Here is a 25,910-nt window from a genome sequence, read left to right on the forward strand (position 1 = left end):
TCAGGGCAGGCACAGAGCCCCCTCTGTCACAGGCCCTCAGGCCCACAGTTTCCCTGGCTGGTTTTGTCTGCAGGGGCACAAAGGCAGCTCCTGTTAGGGAGAATCACTTGGGCATCTGATCGGAGACTCCAGCTCTTGCTTTCACACCCACAGACAGATGCACAGAGACCACTCCCCGGGGACCCCCCAGCCTTTCTCCACCATTAGATGGGAACATCACTGCAGGCCCACCTCTCCCCCACCCGCTGGAGAGATAGAGTTTCACCACTCTCCCAGTCACAGAGAGTCCTCCCATGATTCCCAAGGGGCTGTCCCTCGGGTACCAACTTCCAAGCAGGTTCCCAGGCCCCTCAGCACCCACACCAGGGATGGATTTCACCAGCTGCACGCATGGGTGAACTGCCCAACCATATACAAGGCACGGAACTCACACCCAGCCTCTCTCCATACAACAGAATATGGGTTCTTGCGGAGCTGGACTCTGCAGGAGTCTATCTAATATGGACTCTGTGTCAATGACTCCTGGGCCTCCTCTGATCACCCCATTAAAGTCCTTCGATTGCTTTGAGCCTCAAATCTATGTGACATCAATACGTTCATTTCTTCCTAGCACTTAGAACTGTTTCTTGTTGATACATTTGCTGGCTTCTTCCCTGTCTCACCCCTTTTCCTACCAGAATGCCAGTCCCAGAGGCCCTTGTCAGTGTTCATGCCTACATCCCTAGTACCTAGCATGGTACCTGCAGGTGGCCCATAATCATGAGTTATTCAGTAAGTTAAAGGATTGCAGGAGGGAAGGAAGGACGGAAGGAAGGAAGGAAGGAAGGAAGGAAGGAAGGAAGGAAGGAAGGAAGGAAGGCAGGCAGGCAGGCAGGCAGGCAGGCAAGGCCAAGCCATTTCTGTTTCCAAATCCACTGGCTCCCTCCCACAGCTGGATTATGGGCCAGTAGGAATTGCCATTTTCAGGGTTTTGCTGTCACTGTAGTCAGGACCATGAAGTCTTTAGGCACCTCCACTCCACACACCCCCTGGTGAGAGCTCCCATCTCCCTGTTCTGAAACAGCTCCCCAATATAGTACTGATTCCGGTTAAACTTGAACCCCTGCCCCTGCCCCTGCCCCTGATTTACATGAGGACACTGAGGCCCAGAGGGGTAAAGTGACTGCCAGGGGTCACACAGCTAGAAAGTGGCGGTGCCAGAACTGGAAGGAGGCCCTCATTCCTGAGTCACGGCTTTTCCATAGCACAGCCTTATAGCCAGAAAAGCAGAGAGAAGGGAGAGGAGGGAGGGGGAGGGGGAAAGAGAGGGGAAGAAATGTTTCTCCTTTCATAGATATCCCAAGGAGGTGAGTCCCTAAGTTCTCTTTGTCCCCTTCACCACTACTAGCCCAGGTCTCTGATCTCTGACAGGCAGGAAGTTCCTGTTGATACCTAACCTCCATCCCCCCTTTCAAATTCCAGACCATTTCCTCTTAGTCTGTCTTGCCTGAGGAAGGAGAACAGCTTGATCACTCTCTTCTGCACAATGAATGCCTTCAGACCCTCGCAGCTCATTATTCAAGCCCCCGTCCCCATCCCACCCCCACCCCCCTTTATTCTCAGGGCTGAGAATCCCAGGTCCTCTGGGCCCCTTTCCAAATGACTTCCATCACCACCCAGCAGCTGACATGATAAACGGGGGGTGGGGGCAGGGTGGGATAGGCCTGGAGTGATGGTGGGTATCGATCCATGGGGATCCCACAGGCCAGAGCATCTGGGGATGGGGAGTGGGACAGGGGCCTGGGGTCGTCTTGATTAGCCCTCTGCCCTGGTGTGTTCCTTGCAGGGCCCAGCATGGAGACTGCAGACCTAGGAGCTGGGCGCTGGGTCTGAGCCCAGGCTCCCACAATGAGATTAAAGCAGGGACTGTCTAATTGATTCTGATGGAACTAGGAGAGAGAGTGAGATGAATGGAAAGTGCAGGAGAAGGAGGAAGGAGGGCCAGGGAAAGGGGGAGGGCAGGGGAGGGCCCAGTCTGGGAAGCCCGGTGGCATCAGCACTAGCTAATACAATTACCATCCACCCCCACCCCCAGCCGCTCCCACTGCAGCCCCCTCCCCTTCCTGGGAAACCAGCCCACTGGCCAGTCTGCTCCTGAACTGGACAGAGAGGGTGGTTGGGTTGAGAGGCACAAGGGGAGGGGAGCTGAGTTAAAGCTCCCAGTCCTGGGATCCAAGATGATGCAGAGAGGCTGCGACAGTGACAGTGACTGGCAGGGAGCTAGAGACACCAGGAGGGAGAGATAGGAACACAGGGGAGATACAGATGGATTATCAGGTCCCCGCCCACTTCAGGTCCATCTATCCAGCAGCTCCCCTCCATCTGGCTCGCTGCCACCCCACCCACCTCTCTCCCCTTGGATCATCTCACTGGGCTCCTCCCCAGGGCCCACTCCCAGACAATGGTTACTGCAGTGTGAGAAGGAGTCTGGGAAATAGAACCCCAGGACTCTCCAGTGCCCCACTCAGCCCGGGGCCCTCAGTCCATGCCCTGCAGATAGCCAGAGAACTGTGATAAGGGCTGATGGCCAGGGGGACCCAGGTCACACAGACAGATCCCAGGTGGACCCAAGACTCAGATGAGGACAGGAGGAAGGGAATGGACCCCCCCAGAAAGACAATCCAAAATAGGAGAGGCACTGGGGCTGAGACCTGGCGTCAAAGACTGGAGATGTGAGCAAGCGCCAAGCCAGTGTGAGTGGTGAGAAGAAAACAAGCAAAGCAGCAGGGCAGGAGGAACATGAAAGGAAAGGGAGACAGGGAGGAAGGTGGGAGGCTCCTGAGCATCCATAAAGAGCAGCGAGTGGCAGTGAAGGGCCAGCATCCTGGAGAGGGGAGAAGAGTAAAGGAATCAAAGAACGAGGAGAGAACGCAGCTGGCCAGCCAGGGAAACTGAGGCACAAAACAAGGTAGACACAGCCTCACATTGAGGCTCCAGAAGCAAGCATGCCTGGGAGCTCCCAGTGACTCCTGCCTCCCCAGGCTCAGACCACGGAAGGGACAAACCCAGTGGGGAGTATGGACTGAGACCCTCAAGACCCCAGCTGCAGCCCCTGTGATCAGGAGCCACCCTGGCCAAGGATCTCATGGAACTTGATTCCTTCCTCTCTTTCCCACCCCAAGGATCCCAGACCCCTCTGTGATCCACTTGAACTTGGCTTCTGGCACATTCTATGCTCACTCTGGCTGGTGGCTTTAGGGCAGAGCAGAGCAGGCCCAGCCCCAGGCAGACCACAGATGAGGAGGTATTTGATGGAACATCCCTTGGGCAGCCTAGCCCCATCCCTGCCAGGGCCCTGCCAGCCCTGTGGATGGATAAGCCTGGGGCACTGCCCCTCTGGGAGCCTCAGTGTCCTCATCTGCAACTTGGCTGCTTCTGTGTTTGGTTTTCTTTCCTCCCAGAGCAGTTGAGAGCATGCAGAAGAAAACATGTGAGTTGCTTCATCTCCACTGTCCCCACCCTCACCTCCCAAAGAGAAGGATCCAGGTGCAAAGCCAGCAAAGAGACCAAGGTCAACTCCTGGCCCTGGCACGTGTGGGCCATGTGACCTTGGGGAGTTATTTTTCTATGCTGAGCCTGCTTCTTCTTCTGTAAAATGGAGACTAGGTTCCTAACCTCATGGAGTAATCGTGAGGATTAAATTAAATGTGAACATGTCTAGCAGGAGACCTGATTCATCGAGGTACCCTCGGGAGCTACTGAACAATATCTCAACCACAACCCCTCCTGGCTCTGCCAGCTGCACACTGCCCACCCCACACCCACTAGACAGACGCTCCCCGCCAGAGCCCTCAGCCAGAGCACACTGTCTGGAACACACAGTTCACACCACTGTCCAGGGAATGAACGCCTGAGGGAGAGGAGCCAGGAGTCCCAGAAGGTTGAGGCCAAAACAGCTTTGTTAGGAGATCCAGTTAGCAGGCTAGAGGAGAGGTAGAATGGAGGCATATGAAGAGGCTGGAACCCAAGAAAAGAGAGGAATTGGAGGGTACAATGCCTCTCAGTCCAAGAAGAGAAAGGAGGAAGCACAGCAACAATTTCCTGAGCCCCCGCAGCCCAACTCAAGACAAACACCAGGAAACAGGCTAGGACTAAAGCAAAAAATACTCAAGTCAGACATCAGGCAGAACTTCCAATGAGGCACCACACGGCCAGAGAGGCCTCTCTTTTCACCCTATTATTCCCATACTGTTCCCCATGCTCTTCTTCTAAACTCCAAATGAGGTCTGAGTCTTCACTGTCCCATGACACAGCATAAAATCTCAGTATCAAAAGCCCTGGCTCAACTTAGCAAGAAAACAGGCTGGCCCTGCTGGCCCTGTCCCCAAATCTCCAATCTCACTTAGCCTGGAACTCACCGTATGAATTCTCTTCCAGAAACCAAAACCTATTTCCAGGGCCATCTTAGACCCCATGGGGAACGAGGCCGCTTCTCACGCAGACATCTGCTCCCATGCCTCAGAGCCCTTTCCCCAATCAGGCCTCACCTGGGCCACTCAGATTGTCCCCTTCCTTAAGTTTTCTGTCTCTGAGGGGCAGACTGAGGTGCACAGGCTGAGGATGTGAGGCGGGAGCTGGGAAGCAACTGGGGAACAGGAAGGAGTCTGGGACTTGGATAGAAAGGGGACAGACACATTTTCTTTGTGAAGCCAAAGGAAGAAAGCAAACATTGGCCTGGAAATCGATGAATTAGGCTGGGCGCGGTGGCTCATGCCTGTAATCCCAGCACTTTGGGAGGCCAAGGCAGGCAGATCACCAGGTCAGGAATTTGAGACCAGCCTTGCCCGCATGGTGAAACTCCATCTCTACTAAAAATACAAAAATTAGACAGGTGTGGTGGCATGTGCCTGTAGTCCCAACTACTCGGGAAGCTGAGGTAGGAGAATTGCTTGACCCTGGGAAGTGGAGGTTGCAGTGAGCCGAGATCACACCACTGCACTACAGCCTGGGCAACAGAGCAAGATTCCATCGCCCAAAAAAAAGAAAAAACAAAAAAAAAATAAAGGAATTATATACAATGTACACAGACACACATAAAGCACATGTCTCCCGAGGGACAAGGAGGGTCCCCTGGAAGATAAGGGTGAAGGCTGGGACCCTATAGACGGGGAGTGAGGGACTGGGAGAGAGAAGAATGGAAAAGGGAAGAGCTGGATCTCCCAGAAAGAGAAAAGTTCATGCTAAAGGAACTTTCTGACCATTCGTGGACACCAAATGACGGTGCTGACATGCAAACTGGATGCAAAAGGACATGCAAATGAGGTAGCTTGCCAGATAATTCTTAGTCTATGTCACCTTGACTATAATGAGGTGACACTTTGGGGGCTGCCCTGCAGGTAGGAACTACCCCTAATCCTCCTCCATGACCACCCCATCTCCCTGGAAAAAACCCCTCTTTCCCTCCAGGCTTGGGCACCAAGGAGGAGGACTCACGGGGCCTCTTTCCACCCTTGGGTCTCTTTCTAGGCCCTTAGGCCTCCTCATGCCTTTGCCCTGCCCACCCTAAACTTCCTCCTTCTGCAAGGGGCTTGCCCTTTCGCCTCAGAGCAGGGAGGCCCTGGGGAGAGATTTCTGTTGATGAAAGGAAGAAGGGAGTCCATAAAGGGGAAATCAGTTACAATCCTGAGGTCAGGTCAGGATCTAACTCCAGTGCCTCCCCAGTGTGTCCTGTTCTCTGACTTCACACCCTGGCTGATTGAGAAGTGCCTCCTGATACCTGCCCTCCCACCCTCCTGCTGGCTTCAAACCTCACTATCCTGTCAATGGCCCCAAGATCACACCTAAGACCAGGAAGAAGAGAGTCCAGAGTAGCTATCCCCCTGCCCGCTCCCCCACTCCCCGGCTGCAGCCTCCCCACTGCCCTACTCTTTTTTGCAGGTAAGAGAGCCAAGCCCAGAAATGTGAAGTGGATCCTCCGGGTGCAGTGGGTCGATTGAACACACATGTTGACTCTCGCTCTGTCTTAAGCCCCCACTAAAACAACAATAAGGGGTTCCTTTTTTCTATTATTGAAGCATAAATCCCAGAGGGAAAAAAAGGAGCGGAAAGAGCAATGAGAGCGAGCAGATGTTCAGCATTGTGCAGGACCCAGCCATGGCGGCTGTGGGGGTGCTAAAATATTTCTGTGCCAGTGGGTGAACAGCCACAGCACCCCACAGGCCCAATACGCCAGCCCCTCCCCTGGATCTGCAGGCCTCTCTTCAATTCAGCAAGGAAAGGGCCAACTCCTGGCTCAGCAGGGGACCTAAGGACCCCTCCAGCCTTGCAGTCCCGTCCCTAGGATCACTGGTTAAATAACTTGATTATCACCTCTGACAACAGTGTCAAAATTCTGGGAGCCGGGGAGTGACAGGCAAATAGGAATCATAAGCCTGAGAACGCTGACCCCTGAGCTGCCTGGGGAACCACCGAGAAGCAGCCAGGTTCGCTGACAGCAGAGAGCCCCCAAAGGCTGAGGATTGGTGGCTCAGATGCTTTTGGGGATAGGGTAAACATGATCCTAAAACAGGAAGGTTGGTAGAATATGGAAGAAGAACTTCTGTGTCCAGCTGTCATCCCTGACCCTGGGGGTTCTGAGTTAAAGGCCTGGGGGCTAGCAAAAAGTGAGTGTTTGCTACCTGACCGTGACCTGCCCCAGGCAGAAAAGTGGAGGCCCAAGAGCAGGAACCCAAAGATACAGACAGGAGTTCCCCCAGTGAAGCACTCAGCCAGATACCCCAGAGCAACCAATCCCCCCTTGACTATCCCTTTACTAAGGGAGCTTGCAGGGTAAGGGAGGAGAGCAAAGGCAATTCGGACGAAGCAAGTGCAATGCAGGAAGAAGCTGCAAGATAAGCAACCATTTACGTCCTCAGCGAGATGAGAGAAGACAATGCATCCACGAAACAAGAACAGGAGGCTATTAGATAGAAAGAACATTCTGAGAACAAAAAAGGCCTTGGAACTGTTAAAGCCCAAGTCCCTGGCAGAGCACTGAATAAGCCTGTGCCAGGCAGCCGCTGACCCCAGCCCCTTGCCCCCGACTCCTCACCACACTGGCAGGAGGCCAGGCCCTCCTCTGAGAGCTCTGCACAGCCCTTGGGGCTCAGGACCTCCTGATGGAGAATGAGTCCAAAATCTAGAGACCAGAGGGGAAACGGAGGCCCAGGCTTGGGAAGGGCAGGCCACAGGCCTGGAAGGAAGAAACAGAGGGGCTGGGGCAGGGAATGAAAAGGGATGGGGACTGCTGAACTGAAGAGTCTGCAGAAAGTCCCTCTGAACTCTGTCACCCATGGACCCAGCAGAGATTGCCTAATAGCACCCCCAAGAGGCAGAAAGCCCCCACCTTCCAGGTAGGAAAGTTGATGCCCATAGCCTAGAGCGAGTAGAGCAGGCTCATCACTCAATCTACAACGCAACTGCTGCCTGGCATCTGGAGGGTCTGTGCATCCAGTCTCGTGGTCTGCACTGGGGTTCGAGTTCTGCCCTTATCACATACCAGCTAGGACTCCAGGGTGGATCCCGGCACCCCACGTTCCTCTCTCTGCCCACGTGTTGCCCACCAGTGCCAGAAGTTTCCTCCCAGGAGTCGCTGGGGCCAGGCCCTCCATCCAGGCTTCCAATTGCAGCAGGGTAGGGGGAAGGCCTCAGGGCCCCAGCAGACATGTCCCCCAAGGAGACCAGGAGGGACCTGGAAGGCTAGACCCTGTCTCTGCCCCAGACTGCCCTGAAAGCACACCAAGCGTGGTCTATTTTTAGCCAGGACCCAGCAGGCAGCCAGCCACCCAGTGCTATTCTAGACTGTGGATCAGCAGGCTGGCCAGGGTGAAGGGGCACCGTGGCTGAGGCTGAGGAGTACCTCCAGAAGACCTCAGAGCGGGGGAAGGGCAGAGGGGGTTGAGGTGGGAGAAATCTGGGGAAGGCTGAAATACCGGGAGGGCAGAGGGTGAAGGGGCTTCCCTGGCACTGGCATCGGGGGGCGAGGAGGAACAGACCTGGCCTCTTCTCAACACCCAGGAAGGCAGGTGGCCTGGTGAGAAAGAGGAATAGGCACAGGGAGAGTGAGCTGGAGGAGGAGAGGGGGCAGGAGAGGGAGAGGAGAGAAAGAGACAGAGGAGTAGGCAGGGAGGCAGAGTGACAGGGAGACTCAGAGAGAGGTGGAGGTAACGATGGTGACAGCCCCTACTCCTGGGCAGGAGAGTCAATGTCCTGGCCCCTACCCCACCATGCCCAGGCCTGACGGCCTCCTCTCAAAAGCCGCAGCCTCCTTTCTCCCACTAAGGCCACTCAGCCTTGGTCTGGGAGGCCCAAGACCACGCTGCATCCCTGAATCCTTTCAAGACCCCTCTCTGCCCTACAAGTTACATATAAAAGATGTCAAGCTGGGACGTGGACACGCACACACGCACGTACACACATACACACACACAGGCACACACGGCCTCCTGGGAAGAGGGGACAATGAAGAGGGGACAGGGGTGTCCCTTTGTCCCCCTGCCTGGCCTTGGGAGCACAAATCCACACAAAGAGCTTCACAAAGGGCCTCTGGCTCACAGAGGGGGAGATAAATGGGGGGAGGGGCAGAGGGGAGCCCCCAGAGCGAGAAATACCCAGTCAGTGGCTCTGGGAAGCAACATGGAGGCCATTCTCACAGCCCAGAGGCAGCTAAAGGGCTTAGGGGGAAGGGGCAGCAGGCAAGGGTGGGGGGTTAGGGGTGGCAGAGATGGGGGATGGGACTCCATCTGTCAGGGGTGGGGAGAAAGCTGGGCCAGAAGTCACCTCCTGGTGAGGGGGCAGTCAGAAGAGCCAACCTGAAGGATGCTACTGAGGGAGAGGGAGCTGGGCTTCCTCGCCCACCCTGAGCCAGGGGGCAACAGGCCCAACCCCACCCCAACCTCAAAGAAGGTGACTGCCACAGACACTCCCCTCACGTGGCCTCACGTCTGGCTGGAAGAAGGGCCAGGTGCCTTCAGGCTCAAAGGCCAATCTGGGGAGGAGGTCCCAGGACAGGGGCAGTAAATTAGTCAAGTAAGTCAATGACCTCTTGCTACCAAGGGACCATTGAGAACAAGAGGAAGCCCTCCCCACTAAAGGGTCTAGGCTGAGGGGCCTGTGCTTCTCAGCAGAAAAGGCGAGGAGACACTGGAGAGACCAAGTGCAGAGGGCTGGGAACCCCGAGACCAGGCTGTCATCCAACTCTGCACCAATAATGGAGAGACTGTGGGTAAGCCACCTTCCTGGGCCTCAACTTCCCCCTCTGTGAAACAGGGTAATTATGCCGGCTCAGGTCCCCCTTCAGGGCTGCTGTGAGCATCATGTAAGACTCTTTAATTTAAAGGCATTCATTATCATGATTGCTAACTGCCTTCTGGCCTGCCTGCCAAGTCAGAGACCCCCAAGCCCAGGGCTCTCCTCCATTCCCGGCCCACCTGTCTCCTGGCCAAGTCAGCAAGTGAAGAGGTCAACTAGATGACCTCAAAGGCCCCTTCCAGAAAGAGAAAGAAACTGATGTTTCTTGAGCACCTACTTCATGCTGGGAACTTTACATACCTTACCCACCTTAATGATCTCACTAACCCTGTGAGGTAGGTGTTATCATTCCCATTTTCCAGATGAGGAAACGGAGGCTCACAGTATCAGTCGGTGGCAGAGCCCAGACTTGCTGCCAGACCAGCCTGCCCTGGTCAGGTCCATGCTTTTCCCCCACCAGCCCTCCTTGTTTTGTTGCCGTGAGGCTCTGAGCTCATCTGTCCCCACCCTTACTCCCAATGCCAGAATCCCAGAGAGAAGCTTCTGAAACAGCCCCCTCCCCCTACACCCTTCCCCAGCTGACCTCAGAAGTCAGCAGACTTCAGAGAGTGACAAAAGAGGGCAAGGAGATGCCCATGAGGACAGAGTGCAGGCAGGTACCAACCACACTGCCTGCCCACTGTGTCCCAGAGCTTGGCATATGCTCTATACTCCGAAGCTGACACTTTGCCACAGCAGCTGAGGTGGGCTCTAGTCTGCCCATTCTACAGGTGATGAAGCTGAAGATCGGAGTCACTAAGCAGTTTGCCCAGGGCACCCCACTAAGAGGTGGTAAGAAAGGACTCCGAGTCCCCATTCCCTCTGCTACTGTTTCCCCTCTGAGTTGAAGCCTTGGGGACATAGTGTGGAGTCACTTCAGGATCAAAGGGGTCTTGGGAAGGATGCAAGAGAACCACAAAGAAACCACCCACCCCCCCATCCCCCCACGGAATACTACCTCCAACACACTCATGTCCCTGCTTGCTTTGCTGCAATCCCAGTAAGAGGCAAGGGAATAAATTAGCCCTGCTTAGGATATTGAGTGGCTGGGGTTGAAGAGGCTGTCTGGGTGCCTCACACATCTCAATGCAGTCTGCCGGCTGCTGCAGAGGTGGGGAGCTGATGGGGGCAGTGGAGGCAGGGGACAGTCTGGACTGCTCTGACCTCCCACAGATGGCCTCAGCTCAGTGCCCAGAAATAGTCTCTCCTGCTCCAGCTTCATTCCCCTAATGGTACTGCAGCTTGGCAATGGCTCTGAGCACCCCTGCCCCACACATCAGCCAGCCCAGGCCAGCCCCAGAGGACACCCAAGGTTATTGTCAGGGGGAGGGTGAAGCTGCCCATCCTCCCGTAGCATGAGCTTTGGTGTAGAAGGCTGTGTCCAGGGGAAGAGGTGAAGGGTACAATGCCTATTCCTGAATGCCCCTATCCAGAACCCTCTGTACCCATGCCTCAGTTTCCCCTTAGCACAGAGGCATCCTAAGCAGAAAGGAGAAACGGGGAGGGGAACAGAGAGGGTGTCAGAGGCCAGATGGGATCAGCCCCCTAGTCCAAGCAGCACCATGTCAACTAAAACAACTGAGGAAAGGGATATTAACTCAACAGCCAAGAGCCAGCCTAATGGCAGGAGGGCAGGCAGCCAGGCTGAGCAGGCCTAGGCCTGGAGGGAGCATGATAGCCTGGGGCCCAGCTTGCTGCCTCCTTCTAGGTGCTTGGGTCACCCCTACCCACCCCTCCCATGCTACCTCTGACTCCCTGGACCAAAGGCCCTGGACCTCTTCATGCCTCAAAGCCCTGCAGCAGCTACAAGAATGCACCTCGCAGACCTTCTGCTGCAGGAAGCAGAAATGACGAGGGCCCCAGCTGCATACTTTATTTATTTTATTTTATTTTTTGAGACAGAGTCTTGCTCTGTCACCCAGGGTGGAGTGCAGTGGCATGATCTCATCTCACTGCAACCTCTGCCTCCCAGTTTCAAGACAGTCTCCTGCCTCAGCCTCCCGAGTTGTTGGTATGACAGGCGTGCACCACCATGCCCAGCTAACTTTTTGTGTTTTTAGTAGAGACTGGGTTTTACCATCCTGGCCAGGCTGGTCTCGAACTCCTGCCCTCAGGTGATCTGCCCACCTCGGCCTCCCAAAGTGCTGGTATTACAGGTATGAGCCTGTAATCTCCTGGCCTGGCTACATACTTTAAAATCCATTGCTGTGTTTGCTGAGGCCAGACCCCCCCACAGGCTTGTCCCTGCCATTGGCAGAGTGCAGTGGTGATACTAAGGCAGATCCCTGCCTGGGAGACAGGGGATTTCTTTCTTTTTTTTTTTAATTTCTGTTATTTAGAGATCCCCCAGATTGGAATGCAATGGTGCAATCATAGCTCACTGCAGCCTCAAACTCCTGGGCTCAAGTGAGCCTCCTGTCTCAGCCTGCCGGGTGGCTGGGAATACAGGTGTGATCACCCCACTGGCACTAGGGACGGTCTTTCTAGATCAACTCCACCTCCATGGTTCCCTGTTGGCTTTGCCGAACTCCTCTCGGAGTGCAATGAGGCTAGGACGCATCCTCCAGGCCTCTTTTCCTCTCTCCTTCCCTTGGGGTCAGGTTACATTGCGGTGTGAGGCTCTCCCAGCCTCCCCTAGCCCTTTCATTTCAAAATCAGGCATTTCCCCTAGTAAAATCCTCCATTCAGTCCCATCTTGTTTCTCAGAGGAGTTAAACTAAATCCCTTAGATAATGACACCACCAGGAATAACATCTTGATTAAGAGCTGTCAATATGTCCCACACTATACTAAATGCTTTTAGGACAGTGGAGGAAACCAAGGCACAGAGAGGTTACATAAGATCTTCATCAACACACAGCCTTTAAGTAGCCAAGCCCAAGTGGAACTCAGTGTAAGCTCGAAGGCCGCTTGTACACCTACTCCCTTACACTATAACACAGATGCCAGCCATCCCTACCGCCTGCCTTTTGGGGGAAGAAAGAGGGTAGAAAAGTGACTTGAGGCTCCCGAGGAGTGGACGAGACAGACTCACAAGAAGACACAGATGGAACACGAGAGTGACAGAAGGAGAGAAAGGAGGCAGACAGGAGACCAGAGGAGACCAGGAGCCTGCTCTGGGCCCGAGAATCCTGACCCTGCAAGTGAAAGCTCCTCTACCTCCCCAGGGCAGGCCAGGTTGGAATATTGGGCCCAAGGAAGCAGTAGAGAAAGGAAAAGGTGGCTGTAGGGCACTTTCCCACCCAACCACTTCTGGCCATCCTTGACCAAACACTCCGTATCCCTACCTCCCTCCAGCCCTTTTCCCACCCACCGCGTATGTCAGGAGGCTGCGCCACAGGTGCCCTTTGCAGCACCCAGATCAGGAGACTCCAGTCCCACTCTTCCCTCCTCTCCTTCCCCTCCAAACCCTCAAGGGCAGGGCAGACATGCCTGGCCTGGGTCTAAGGTCCCAAGAAAGCCAGGCCTGTCCCTTGCCCATCCCCCATGGGAATGACGTCTGGGTTGGCAGCAGGTGAAACTGAGCCAAGAGGACATGGCGGAGGGCCAGCCACACGAGGTGAGCTCTTGGCTCAGATACTGGCCTGGTGGGCTCAAGTTCTTGGGGCTACTGGCTGGGGTGTTGAGGGCTTGGTGGAGGGGAAGTCAGGGAGGAGGAAGGGCAGCCGGCTTCTGGGGGCCCACGAAGGGAGGAGAGACTTTACGGCAAACACAATACCTGTACCGCACCCCACCCCACAAACACACACACACACACGCTCATTCTTGTTTGGCCCAGCCATGTGAGGACACCCACCAGCTGCTCCAGTCACCCTACACCCCCCTGTCGTCTTCCACCCTGAGCCAGGGATAGTTTAAATCATCGGTCCCTCTCTGGGGGGCCTTTCAGGGACTCCACGGCCTACACGATAAGTGTAAAGCCCAAACTCTTCAGCTTGGCATTCAAGGCCCTTTGCATGTAGACTCACCTCGTTCCCAGCTTCTGATCCTGCCTCTCCCCCGACCCTACTCTGCACCCACACTTAACCACTCCACTCCCTGAAGGGGCCACATGCTTCTAGCACCTCTGCACCTGACTGAAATGGCCTTGCCCCTCCCTCTGGGAAGGTGAACTCCTGCTGAAACTTTTAAGAACTTGTTCAAAGTGTCGCCTCCTCTGGGAGGGCTTTCCAGACTGTCCCAAGCAGAACAGGTCAGTCCCTGCTCTAGAAACAGGTGACAGCCCTCGGCACATTGTCTCAGGGTGATGTGTTGGACCCTCTGCCTCCCGCACTGACTTCCCAGAAGAGGTTGGGGTAGAGATGTCATGTGTATGCATGGGGCTTGGCAGAGGTGAGGGGACGGTGGGAGTGGAGGGTGGATAGGGAAAGAGAAGGTGGCAGATGAGTGGAGGAAGAGATGAGCAGAAAGGCAGAGGGGCTGAAAGGTGAGCAGACAGGTGAGGATTCAGAGGCTTCCCCAGTGCATAGCCAGCATCCACCCAGAGGCTCCAGGCCAGAGGCCCTGCAGACTGCAGGCTGGGCCAGAGGACTCTAAGGAATCAGGATACTCTCCAGGCCACACTGGACCCCTCTCAATTTCAGCCATGGCAGGAAGAGGTGGGTAAAGTAGGATTTGGTGGCAACGCTCAGAAGTTCCTGGGAAAGGATGCTGGTAGGAAGGCCCAGACAAGCTGGCCTGGAGGACACCGCTTTCCAGCATCCTGGTGACTGCCACCTCTGCCAGCCCCAGCTGGTCACCAGGCTCTAAAGTCTTTTCTCATGCTCTTCAAACCTCAAAAAGTCCTTCTGTCAGTTGACTTCACCTGACCCTGCACACATTCTTATCTGACTTCCAGCCATGCATGAGCTGGCCCCCACTGGCCTTACTCCACCCCCCATTCCCACACCTGCACCCTCCTGCTGGGTGCCCAGAGAAGCTCAGGCCCAGATGGGCCCAGGGGAGACCTCTATTTCCCAGACAGAACAGCTCCACCCCGTACAGCAGGCCACCCGGGCCTATCACCACCATCCTCTTGCACTTGCCCTATCTGCATTCTCTCTCCTGTCTGTGGGGTCTCTACCTGTCCACCTCTCACCATTCATCCAGCCATCCCTTGGGCAACCTTTATTGAGTATCCAGATGTCACAGGTTCTTTGCTAAGTGCCTGGGATACCAGGTTCACTAAAGCTTGGCACTGGCCTGAAAACCCTGGCTCATGGGCTTACTGGGGAGGCACACTTTAAACAGACAGCAGCAGAAGCACCCAGCACTCTCATATCTCAGGCCAGAAAAGGACCCTAGAGCTTGGGGTCTTCCATCCCCTATCCTTGGGGTAGATTTGCAGCTTCCTGCTCTGGGCTTTACAGCTACTCAGGCTGGGAGGCAGAAGGGCTGGCCAAAAGCACCAGGCTGGGGTCTTGGGGGTGGAGGTGAATTTAAAAATCAGAGCTGGGACAGTCAGCAAGGGGACCTGGCCCCTAAGCATAGCCTGGGTCCCCTTTCCTCCCCACTACTTGGCCTCTCTGAAGATGGCAGCCTATACTTCCCACTCACAGGCTGCGGCCCCTCTGGGGTCTGCCTTAGCTTGCCTGCCCTTGGCACCAGGCTCTGTCCCAGTGCCAGGAGCCCTGGGCAAGTTCATACATCAAACGAGGAGGCAGTGGCTGGCTTCTTTCCCTTCCGGAAATAGCAAACAAATAGAGGGTGCAGCCCTATCTTCAGCCTCACGCCCTCCTGCCCCTGCTAGGGACTCAGGCCTGCCCCCAGAGAGTGAGTAAGACTTAGAGAGGTGATCGGTGGACCCCCACCCACCCCACTCCAATGCAGGACTCCAGAGCTTCTTTCTCCTTTCCCTCCTGAGGCACAAGGCCGGGGGGCAAGTGAATTGAGAAGAATCATTACAAAGGGACATAAGAGGATGCTAGAGAATCTTCTCCCATCCCCAAGGCATCCCTCACCCCCATCAAGGTGCTGAAGTTCTCCCTTCATTGAATGATTCCTTTGATTCCGAGACACGTGGGTCTTCCAGAGACATCATCAAAATGGAGGGACACATATACCAAACAGAAATCTGGCTTCATGATCTTCAAAACACATGCATGAAAGTGTTCTTAGCAGTGCTACTCACAGTAGCCCAAAACTAGAAATGACTCGAACGCCTGTCAATAGCAGAATGGATAAATGGACAGCGTGTCTTCACACAGTGGGACGCTGTCCAGCAATGAGAAGGAACGCTCAAGACCACACCCAGGAATATAGATAAAGTTCACAACCATGATATTGAGCACAAAAGAATACATATGATGTGCTCCACTGATTACAAGTGCCATTCATTTATTAGACATTCTAGAACAAGTAACTCCCTGTGGTTAGAAGTCGGGATTGCGCACTGCCCTCCAAGGGGGATTAGTGACTGGAAGGGGCAGGAGGCACATTCTGAGAGCTGTCACTGTTCTGTTTCTAGACTCTGCATGCCAAGTATGTGAGTACGTGCGTGTGTTCAGTCAGTGGGAAGTTTGTACACTTTTCTGTGTTTAGGAAATATTTCAACACACTAATACAGACAAATGCCTTCACAGCCACCCTCTCTGTGAGATGAGAGGGGTTATTTTCAACTTCCTCCTGCTCCTCGTCCACATCCAAGCCATCTCCATGTCCAGTCCTTTCTCCCAAGTTAGTCATGGCCCCACTCAGCCCTCTCCCTGGCTGACCGTCTCTAACTCTGACCACCGGGCACCTCCCTGCCTGCCCTGCCTCCCAGGCACCTTGCTTTGACTCTCTCCCTCCCAATCCATATACACACAGCATGTGTGCTAGGGCTCCCGGGGAGCCAGGAGCAGCCAGGAAAGCCTTTGTCCACTTCTATAACAGGTCCCGGCTCTTCTCCATGCTGGGACCTTCAAGTCGGCTGCTCCAACCACCTGGAATGCTTCTTCCTCCCAGCTGCTCTTGCTTCAGCTCCTCATTCAGATGTCACTTCCTTCACCTTCCCGGTGCAATCCCTCTGGAATCCTCACCCATCACATCCTGAACTTAGCCTCCATAGCACTGTCTCCAGTCAGCTCAATGACTTGTTTGCAGTCTGTTCCATCTCTCCCACTGGATTGACAACCCCCTGAGGGCAAGGACCCGAGCTGTCTGCTTTCTGCCCTATCCCCAGCCCCAAGCTCCATGCCTGGCCTATAGCAGATGCTCAAAAATGCTTGAATCAGTGTTGAATAAATGAATGGCCAAGCGCATCTGGCTTACAGGCAGCCTCTGGGGAAAGCAAAAGTTGCATCTGGGGATGAAACCCTCACTTGTCTGGACCCAGGACTCCTGGGATGTGGTCCCAGCACTGAAACTCACTTCTAGTGTGACCTTGGGCAAGTCACACTGAGGACGCCCCCTCTGGTCTTCAGTGTGCTGTTTTGAAATACACGGGGTGGATAAATCAGGGCTATAGTGGGGCTTGAAGAAATATATGACATTGTGTATGTTTGCACAGTGGCTGTGTGTCTGTGTGTGTCAGTGTGTGTGTGAGACTGTGTGTAAGCGTGTGTGTATGCATGTATGCGTGAGCATGGGTATGAGTGTGTGAGCATAAGTATGAGTGTGTATGTGTGTGAGCATGTGTGTGAACTGTGTGTATGAGTGTATGTATGAGTGTGAGTGTGGGAGTGTATGTGTGTATGTGTGTGTATGTGAGTGAGCATGTGAGCATATGTGTGAGTGTATGTGTGTGTTTGTGAGTGTGTGAGCGTGTCTGTGTGTATGAGTGTGTGTGAGCATGTCTGTGTGTGTGTGTGTATGTGTTGTGTGAGCATGTCTATGAGTGTCTTGTGTGAGTGTGAATGTGTCTGTATGTGTGTGAGTGTGTCTGTGTGTATGAGTGTGAGTGTGTGAGCATGTCTGTGTGTGAGTGTATGAGTGTGTTGTGTGTGAGCGTGTATGAGTGTGTGAGTGTGTCTTTGTGTATGAGTGTGGGTGTGTGAGCATGTCTGTGTGTGAGTGTATGAGTGTGTGTTGTGTGTGAGCATGTCTGTGTGTGTATGAATGTCTTGTGTGAGTGTGTGAGTGCACCTGTGTGTATAAGTGTGTGTGTGCATGTGTGTATGAGCATGTCTGTGTGTGTGAGTGTATGAGTGTGTGTTGTGTGTGAGCAAGTCTGTGTGTATGAGTGTGTCTTGTGTGAGTGTGTGTGTGCCTGTGTGTATGAGTGTATGTGTGTGTCTGTGTGTGTGTGCACCTTCTCCCTAGCAAGAGCACCCATAGGTTACATCAGATTCTCAAAGGGATCTGTGTCCTCAAAAGGCTCAGAAGCACTAAGATCCTTTTCAGCTCTGGGGTCTCTGATTCTACATAACAAGAAAGAGAGGAAGAGGAGGTCATCCAACCCATGGGGGAGGGAGTCAGACCAGATCCTAGAACTTCCAAAAGGGTTGCAGGCCCCACAACAGGAATGCAGGGGAGGCTGCAGGACCAGGCCCCAGGAGAACGTCTAACCTCAGTAGTTCTCCGGGCTGAAAGAAGCAGAGCCCAGAAGAGCTGACTGCAGAAACGGAAGAGGCAACAGCAGCCAGGAGTCTCCTCCCCACTGCTCCCGCCCCATCCACAAGCACCCACTTGTCCTGGGATACAGCAGAGAGCAAGGAGGCACGACTGGCACCCGGAGATGCCCGCCAGGCCCCTTGGCACCCAGAAGGCTTGGCTGGAGGACTCAGGAGGGTGCCAAGCCCCAACCTCTTGCTCCTGAGGCTGACATGTGGGACCATAGGAGGGCTCAGGGTGTAGGGCAGTTGTGGGACCTAGAGAGGCCACCTGGGAGGGGCAGGGCCCACAGCTGCAGGCACTGACAACCCAGAGCTGGACTTGGAGGCTTAAGAGCCAAGGCATGCACCCTCTCAAAGCCAAGGGGAGGAGCAGGAGCCAAATGCTGGCCAGGGGAGAAAGAGGAGTGGGCAATGGGGCCTGGGGGACAAGGCAGTCCAGGAGAAGGAGGAGGACAGCCTGCTTGTGGAGGAGGAGGCAGCATGACAGGGGAAGGGGGCGATGTGGCCTGGGTAGGAGAGGGCTGTGCTGAGGGGACAGGAGAATAGCGAGGCTGGGTGTGGACACAGGCAGCAGGAGCTCAGGCTGTGGTCAAAGAGAGATGCTGGGCCTACGGCAGGGCCTGGGGCAGGAATGGGGGGTGTGTCTGCAGCAGGACTGGCAGTGGGTGCGCCCTGGCAGGCAGCCCAGATGTCTGGGTAGCCACTGACTCTTGGCTTTTGAGGGGATCAGCACCCAGGAGATGTTTATCTGCCCCAAGAACGAGGGTATCACCCCTCCTCTAGTGAGGCCCCAGGTGATGGGTGCAGGCTGCTCTTCCCTAAACCCCTGAAGGGGGGAGCCCCGAGCAGCAGCAACCCTCACTGGAGCCAGAGTCAGGGCACAGCAGCTGGGATGGAGCTTGATCCCCACAGACAGAGGAGGGAGGGAGTCACAGGCGAGCTCCAGGCTCTCTCCAGAGGCCGCTTAGAAACCAGCTCATCTGATGCAGACACTCGTCCCCATCCCTCTCCCTGCCACTGTCACACACCGGCACACACACCCTCCCCTCTTTCTCCCCTTGATCATCCACCTCCAGAGCCCCGGCTCCTCCCTCCATCACAGCCCCACTCCCTGTCCCTGTCCCTGCCCACCTTTACCTGGCCCAACAGGCACCTGCCCCATGTCAAAGCTGGCTGTGTGGGAGGTGGGGAGGCAGGGACACAGGGTGAAGAAAGAAGACCCACCAACAGCGAGTCCTGAGGTCACAGGGACCTAGAGAGGAGTTACCCATCCCTGGTGACCCCAAACACCTCCTCCTACTCTCCCAGGAAGAAACCAGCACCACACCTATCCCAGGCCTGATGGTTCCCTGGCAGACTCCTCCAGAGCAGACACCTGCCTCCCAGCTCAGACCTGTCCCCACTGCCAGGTCAGCTCCCCACTTGCTAGTCTCTGAGACTTACCCAGCACAGAGAAGGCAGGGGTGAGAGGCCAGCCTGTCCCCACCATCCTGGGGAAGTCCTTGCTCCAGTGGGGCCCCCACCCTCCTAACTCCAGAGTCCTCCTAAATGAAGGGACACTGCCAGAGCTGCCCCTTGGTCCAGCTCGAGGAAGATTAACTCTTTCCCTACCTTGCCCCAGCACTCCAGGCCTGCCCCTCCTGGGTGACTCCTAAACCAACCTCACCCAACCTATTTGCCCTTCTAGGGGTCAGGTCCTATATCACCCTCCTCCCAAGGGCACAAGAGACCCAGGGGAGCCCTCTACCCAACTGGAGGCCCCTTCACCCGGTCGTGGTCCTTCCTCCCCCTTGGTCCACCTGCCTTGCCGCACTTCCCAAGCAGACTAGCACCGTCCTGGGCTGGCTACTTAACCTGTGTCAGGTGCCCTGGGCTCTGCCAACCGCCAGCTCCCGACTCGGGGCGTCGTCCCTCACCCATTCCCGCAGCCCCTACCTGAAGCGGTAGCTGCCTTCTCTCTGCACAGGCCAAACCCCCGGACTCCCAGCACTCAGCCCGCGCCGAGACCCAGGGACTCCCCGGGGGCTGGGGACCGCAGAGTGGTCCGGGCCGCAGCTCTTCGCAGCACACCAGGCTCACAGTGCAGCCCATCCGGCCTGGCGCCCCGGCGGGCAGGGGCGGAGACGCGGGAGCCCCAGAAGCCGGCCCGCCCCCAGCCCTTGCGACAGCTCAGCCCAGAGCGCCTGCGACATTGGCAGGCGAGCAGCAACGACCCCAGCCTGGCCCCGACAGAGTCCCTGCCTTTATGTCCAGCAGCGACAGGAGCCCCCACTGTGGGGCCTGATAAGGGTCTGCAATACAGGTCCCGAACACAGCCAGTGAGGAAGCCCACCTCAGGGAGGGGAGAAGGGAGGGCGGCAGTGGTGGAGTCCTTGGGACAGGGACTTCAGACAGTCTGACTTGGGGGGCAAGGTGAGAAACACACCAAGAACGTGACAGAGGGACAGGGAGAAGATAAAGGCAGACAATGAGGAAGAGGCAGAGATGAGGGACAGAGATGGGGGAAGCAGCCTCCGCATGGGGGATATAGGTGCAGGACGGAGCCGAGGATAGAAACCCTCGGGCATCCGTTGTGCTGGTTTTTAGATGCGGTTCCTGGGGTTTGTGAAAACAGCCGTCCTCCCAGGCCCCTGCTCCACTTCCCTAATACTAGCCCCTGGAGCAGCCGAGCCTGGAGAAACGAGGACCCGGCATGGAAAGACCCCAGGCTCAAGGAGGCAGAGCACAGCCAGGGTGGGGGACCCCAGCCCACCGGGGAAACCCGCCCGGCCCATTGCTGCGCACAGGATCTCACTGGTGGTCTCACATCCATCCTTTTGGGAATGGGATCAGGCCTGGGGGGTCGGCACTGATGACCAGCACTCAGGGGGACCGCCTCAGCTGACTGAGGTGGAGACAGGAAGGAGGAGCGTGGTGGGGCCCTCGACCTCCCCTCCCCACTCTGGAGCGCTGCCTCACAGCCCAACCAAGCGACACGGAAGAGACAACCACAGGAATAGCAGCTGCGGAGCTCCATGGCCTCCCTGTGCCCCCTGGTGGCGAGAAGGAAGAAAAGCAAGAGCAGGTGCTGAAAACGAAAAGGAAACTAGCAGCAGTCCCAGCTACCACAATGGATCAGCCCCCATTTGGCCAACAGGTGACTCTACCCCAGGTGGGCCTGAGAGGACCCATCCCCCATCTCACCATTCTGCCCCAGCGCCCTGGATCCTGCCTCTACCACTTCTTCCCTGCGCAGTCACTAGGGACGGACTCTGGCAGCAGAGCCGCGCTGTCGTGCCCCAGCCAGCCAGGCTCTCCTGGGTGAGTAGCAGGGAGACCCCTGGAACTTACGGGGATAGAAGGAGTGTGATGCCAGGAGCCAGGGGAGGAAAATGCCTGGCAGAGACGAGGGAGAGGAGGAGACACATGGAGCCGTTCATGGATTTCACACAGGATCTGGGCTGGAAGGGGCTGCCGAGACCATCAGTCCAATCTTTGGTCTACAGGTGGGGAAACTGAGGCTCAAGGAAGGTGAGTGATTTGCCCGAGATCACACAGTGAGTGTGTAGCCAGGCCAGGATGGAGACCCAGGTCTCTGGGCTCCTGACCCCGTCCTCCCTGAATCCCATGCCCCAGCCACCTCCCTCATTTACCTCCGTTTCCCTCTCCCCTTCCCTCCACTGTGTCCCACTGCTGTACCACTGCCACGCCACCCCAAACTCCAGCAGCCACAGCCCGGGAGGCAGGACACCTGGGTTTTCCGCTCCATGCCTGGTCTTGACTCTAGGATCTCAGAATAAGGCCACCTGCTCTCAGGGCCACAGTGTCCCCGTCTGGGCCCCAGGATCCATTGGGAGGAGAAGAGGATGAGATCCCCCAGGAGAGAGGCAGTATTAAAACCAGGCACCCTGCTCCCCCCACACACGCAGCATCTGCTCAGCTCCAGCCTTGGGGCCGCGCTTTACTTCTGCAACCTCTCCTCAAAGAACACACATTTCCATTCAGCTGGGGCCCAGGAAAAGATGAGTGGGTGTCTCGAGGAGGATGAGTACCCGGGTGAGGCTGGGGGCCCTCCATGGGGAACATGGGGACACTCCCAGCCTAGTGTCCACATGGCATGAACCCTCACGGGGCTGCTCACACCAAGTCAGGGCCCAGAACACAGGCCCTGTGGGCACACACACCTGAGTTCAAATCCTGGGAACCTCTGTGATGCTGGATAAAAGACTTACCCTCTCTGTGCCCCAGGTTCCCCTCTAGCCTCCCAGGGTTATGTGGGGATTGAATGGGACAAAGATATTAAACAATTAGCACAGTGTCGTCGCCCAGGGACTGCTCAATCGGTGGAGGCCACACCATCATCTTCACACCCTGGCCTACAAAATAGAGCTGGGATTTTCCCTTGCTGTGTGGCCAGATATAAGTCTTTCCCTCTCTGGACTTTACACAAAGGAGGCTCTGCATCCTCCTTTGTGTAAGGAGAGAGTTGGGCAGTGAGACTCAGGGTTCTTCCTGGGCTCACAGTCCAAGTCACAAGGAATCACATTATCTAGCATCCTACGACTGGGTTAAATTAAAACAGGGGGTGAGAACGAGTGAGTCTAGAAGTCTAACTCTATAAAAGGGACCACAGTTCCAATTTGAACCAACAGTTGAGTTAAGGATGCTGCTAAAGTCAGCCACTGGGTGGCCTAACGGATCTCTTAGATGACGTAAAACTTTGGGTTTGATGTGACAGAACCAACACTCCCTCAAGTTACCCACAGAAGCTACTGGCTGTGAAATCCTAATTACAGCATAATGCTGCCAAGTGAAAGGGGTAGACATAAGCAAGGAGAAATTAAGAGAGGTAAGAGATTCACCACGATGAGGAGTCTTCTTCAGTGTTTTGGGGAAAGCTGTCCACAGCGTGAAGTCATCAACTTCTCACTCTGGTTTGCAGTTTAAATATCTCTGGTTATGGCATCAGGTATTTTGGTGAAACTCTGTGTGGCACGCACATCAGGCATGAAGGTTTTCCCTTGAAATGTACACTAAGTTGCCCAGCTCCAGCTTATAAGGCTTCAGGAACAGAGCAGTTCTTGTTCTTTGTAATTCCATGGGAGAAAATTGGATTGGAGGAATCTAGAAGGAATCAAGATCCAGTCCAGTCTACAGGTAGATAATAAACTGAGGCTGGGTGCAGTGGCTCAAGCCTGTAATCCCAGCACTTTGGGAGGCTGAGGCGGGCGGATCACTTGAGGTCAGGAGTTCGAGACCAGCCTGACCAACATAGTGAAACCCCATCTCTACTAAAAATACAAAAAATTAGCCGGGCGTGGTGGCAGGCGCCTGTAACCTCAGCTACTTGGGAGGCTGAGGCAGAAGAATCCCTTGAACCCAGGAGGCGGAGGTTGCAGTGAGTGGAGATAGCACCACTGCACTCCAGCCTGGGCAATAGTGCAAAACTCAGTCTCAAAAAAAAAAAAGATAATAAACTGAAAAACAATGAGCAGGGCTACAATCTAATAACAGGCACACTATAATTTTTCTTCCGAAACATAATTTTTCTCTCTACATTCACTCTCATTTCTACCAAAGATAATCAAAGTAAGACTAATTTGTTTGCAAAATAAGTTTAGCCTCATCAAACACAGCCTGACTAATTAAATAAATGCAGCAAACATAGCAATTGACCACAGAGGTTTTCTTTTAAAGCTTGCTTTGTTGGAACTTTTGATAGGAAATCTCAAATTGGATTTTTTAAAACCTCTTGAGGCTAGAAAGCCAAACCAAGGCAGACTTCAGACTTCACCAGCAATACCTATAGATTCCTTCTCTGGACATTTTCAAATATGACATCCCAGTCAATGCCCTAGTAATATACCCAATACTGTCAATATATCCTGTTATAAAGAGAACCGATTCCTATAGAACAGAAGCAAATCACTATATTACCATACCAACAAGAATACTCACAAATAGTTTCTGAATTCTGGAAGGATCCTATGTGGAGAAAAAGTAAGTGTTTCCACTTTTGTTCACAAAAGTACATTTGGCCAAATTTCTGTAATCTATAGATAGTTTAAAAGAAAAAAACAGTTTCCTAAACTATGGCAAACAAAATATTTAAAGAACCAGCAAAGTTTCAAATAAAAATTCATAAAAAACATTATCCTCCTCAGTTCATTTAACCTCATGTAATTACTTTGTTCTTCTTGATCTTGGTTAAGTTTCATGATAGCGTCAGTCTCTTCCTTAGAGTTATGGAAATTCTTACCCAGTCCAATGGTATGATCTTAAAGTTATCAAAAACCTTTCCATGAAAGTTATCAGAGTCCTTTCCATGAATCTCCTTGAACACATAACACCTTAGAATTACAGCTGCTTGAATAAAAAAAAAAGTTTTCAGAAAAACACCAGAAAAAAAAGCAATTATTTGTGGACAATATGTCTTGAAATGGCCATAGTTAAACATCTTATTTGTGTTTATTATGATGATGCAACTAAGAAGGAAATTTGGGCATCAGAGACATAGACAGAGCTGAGTTTGCTTTTGCAAAGTGCTCCATCAGTAAAAATGCACAGTTTTGGGTGATTCATGGTGAATCTGTTTTCATTTTAATCATTACATATTCATTTTAAATTAAATTAACAAAAGTGAATTGATTTAAAGAATATTACACTTCAGCAGACATGGCCAAAATGTGAAAGGTGGTTTAGAGATGATGGAAGTTTGGAAGACCCCAAATTAGATGATCATGTTATCAGTGAAGAGTGCCCTCAGCGGCTAGTAACAAAAATCTGACTCCCAGTGGCTTAAAAACATAGCGGGTGAGGGGTTTTTGGTGGTATTATTTTACACATAACATTTGCTAATGTTGGTTGGGGGCTCAGTAACTTCCAAGGCTGACTACCCTCTTTCCGATTCATTTGCCCTTTTCCTCATGGCCCCATGATGGTTGCTGCAGCTCTAGCAGTCACAAGCAAAAGGAAAGAAAAGGGAGAGAGGGTGCCAAGCAGTGTCTTTCTTTCTCTTTGGTAGGAAAAGCGAGGGCTTTCCCAGAGCTTGCAGCAGTCTTCTCCTTGACCTTCATTAGCAAAAATCATATCCTTGGCCACCACTAGGTGTAAAGAAGTCTGGGAGAGTGGGCAATCGGTTGCATAACTGGTTTAGACCATCCTCATCCAATGGAGGTTCTATCGGTGAGTAAGGAAGGGGCATCACAGCAAGATAAACCAACATCGGTAAAAGCAAACTGAGAGTGGCTACTGTCTCTTTAAACTTCCTGTCACTATTTATACATGAAAAGAGAACCCAGCAGGAGAGTATGATCTACCTTTAAAAATAGGCTTGCCAGTGGCAGAATTGTAGGCATCTGTGGCATGATAAATTTGACATTTGTGGTAGGGCAAGATTTACACTACCATTAGAGGATGGTTGGGAAGGAACAATGGCAGGCAGACCAGGTGGGCTGTGTGTTCGGGCATACCTGTGGTATGAGTGTGTGACCAAAAGCAATAGACAATGAATTGTGGTGGTGACACATGGTCCATGAATCACAGTAGAAATGTCTCCCATTATTTATTTCCACAACCGTTGATTGAGCACTTACTATAGTCCCTGAAAGAGAACACAAAGATGAATGGAAGAGGATTCTTGCTCACAGGCTGGGGGAGGGTGGACTTGTAAACACATCACTGCAGTATAGTAGGGTTCATGTTATAATGGAGAATTGATGAAGGTGCCAGAAGACTCAAGCCAGGGAACAGACATTAGCTGCTGGGGGAAGCTAAGGCAGGTTCCCAGAGAAGCCGTTCTCCATTACTGAGATGGGGGGAGCAGTGACCTTGACCCCAGCTCTTCCATTCATGGACTGCCCCAGCTCTATGGTCTCTCTGCTAACCATCCAGACTCTGGGAGTGGCCTATGCCCCCAGCCTCAGAGCCATTTAAATCAACTGGTCATTGGCACTGGTTGTGCAAAAGAGTAGCTAGCAGCAAAGGAGCGTTCATTTTCCCATCAAATCCCCACCAGACTACCTCAAAGCAGCCTGAAAAGTAAGTAAAGATTGTGTGCCTGTTGTCCAAACGCAGCTCAAGTGCAGTCTTCCACCTCCTTCCCACTGGATT

General features: G+C 53.8%; 2 protein-coding genes across 2 annotated transcripts in view, besides 6 other annotated features; one reads left to right on the forward strand and one right to left on the reverse strand.

The window, feature by feature from the left end:
• TNS1 (tensin 1) overlaps positions 1 to 19,917 on the reverse strand; it is a 234,192-nt gene extending 214,275 nt beyond the window's left edge. The window contains exon 1 of the mRNA XM_047445637.1: positions 19,755 to 19,917. Coding sequence (XP_047301593.1) covers positions 19,755 to 19,910 — 156 coding nt within the window. The 5' untranslated portion in view covers positions 19,911 to 19,917. The remainder of the gene's footprint in view (positions 1 to 19,754) is intronic.
• Positions 11,293 to 12,208: an enhancer, noted in NCBI's record as "H3K27ac-H3K4me1 hESC enhancer chr2:218890081-218890996 (GRCh37/hg19 assembly coordinates)". NCBI's record gives its function as "activates a minimal SCP1, AML or CMV promoter by ChIP-STARR-seq in primed H9 embryonic stem cells {active_cell/tissue: H9 hESC(primed)}" and the evidence as "EXISTENCE:reporter gene assay evidence [ECO:0000049][PMID:30033119]".
• Positions 17,584 to 18,140: an enhancer, noted in NCBI's record as "H3K27ac-H3K4me1 hESC enhancer chr2:218896372-218896928 (GRCh37/hg19 assembly coordinates)". NCBI's record gives its function as "activates a minimal SCP1, AML or CMV promoter by ChIP-STARR-seq in naive H9 embryonic stem cells {active_cell/tissue: H9 hESC(naive)}" and the evidence as "EXISTENCE:reporter gene assay evidence [ECO:0000049][PMID:30033119]".
• Positions 20,259 to 20,792: an enhancer, noted in NCBI's record as "H3K4me1 hESC enhancer chr2:218899047-218899580 (GRCh37/hg19 assembly coordinates)". NCBI's record gives its function as "activates a minimal SCP1, AML or CMV promoter by ChIP-STARR-seq in naive H9 embryonic stem cells {active_cell/tissue: H9 hESC(naive)}" and the evidence as "EXISTENCE:reporter gene assay evidence [ECO:0000049][PMID:30033119]".
• Positions 20,793 to 21,325: an enhancer, noted in NCBI's record as "H3K4me1 hESC enhancer chr2:218899581-218900113 (GRCh37/hg19 assembly coordinates)". NCBI's record gives its function as "activates a minimal SCP1, AML or CMV promoter by ChIP-STARR-seq in naive H9 embryonic stem cells {active_cell/tissue: H9 hESC(naive)}" and the evidence as "EXISTENCE:reporter gene assay evidence [ECO:0000049][PMID:30033119]".
• Positions 20,869 to 25,910, forward strand: part of RUFY4 (RUN and FYVE domain containing 4) — a 55,719-nt gene continuing 50,677 nt past the window's right edge. Inside the window, exons 1-2 of the transcript NR_034176.2 lie at positions 20,869 to 21,119; positions 21,252 to 21,329. The gene's annotated coding sequence lies outside the window, so the exon portion shown is untranslated. The remainder of the gene's footprint in view (positions 21,120 to 21,251; positions 21,330 to 25,910) is intronic.
• Positions 21,119 to 21,168: a silencer, noted in NCBI's record as "silent region_12310". NCBI's record gives its function as "represses an Ori minimal core promoter by ATAC-STARR-seq in GM12878 lymphoblastoid cells {active_cell/tissue: GM12878}" and the evidence as "EXISTENCE:reporter gene assay evidence [ECO:0000049][PMID:35858748]".
• Positions 22,181 to 22,270: an enhancer, noted in NCBI's record as "active region_17113". NCBI's record gives its function as "activates an Ori minimal core promoter by ATAC-STARR-seq in GM12878 lymphoblastoid cells {active_cell/tissue: GM12878}" and the evidence as "EXISTENCE:reporter gene assay evidence [ECO:0000049][PMID:35858748]".

Source organism: Homo sapiens, chromosome 2 (assembly GCF_000001405.40).
Source record: "Homo sapiens chromosome 2, GRCh38.p14 Primary Assembly".
NCBI lineage: Eukaryota > Metazoa > Chordata > Mammalia > Primates > Hominidae > Homo > Homo sapiens.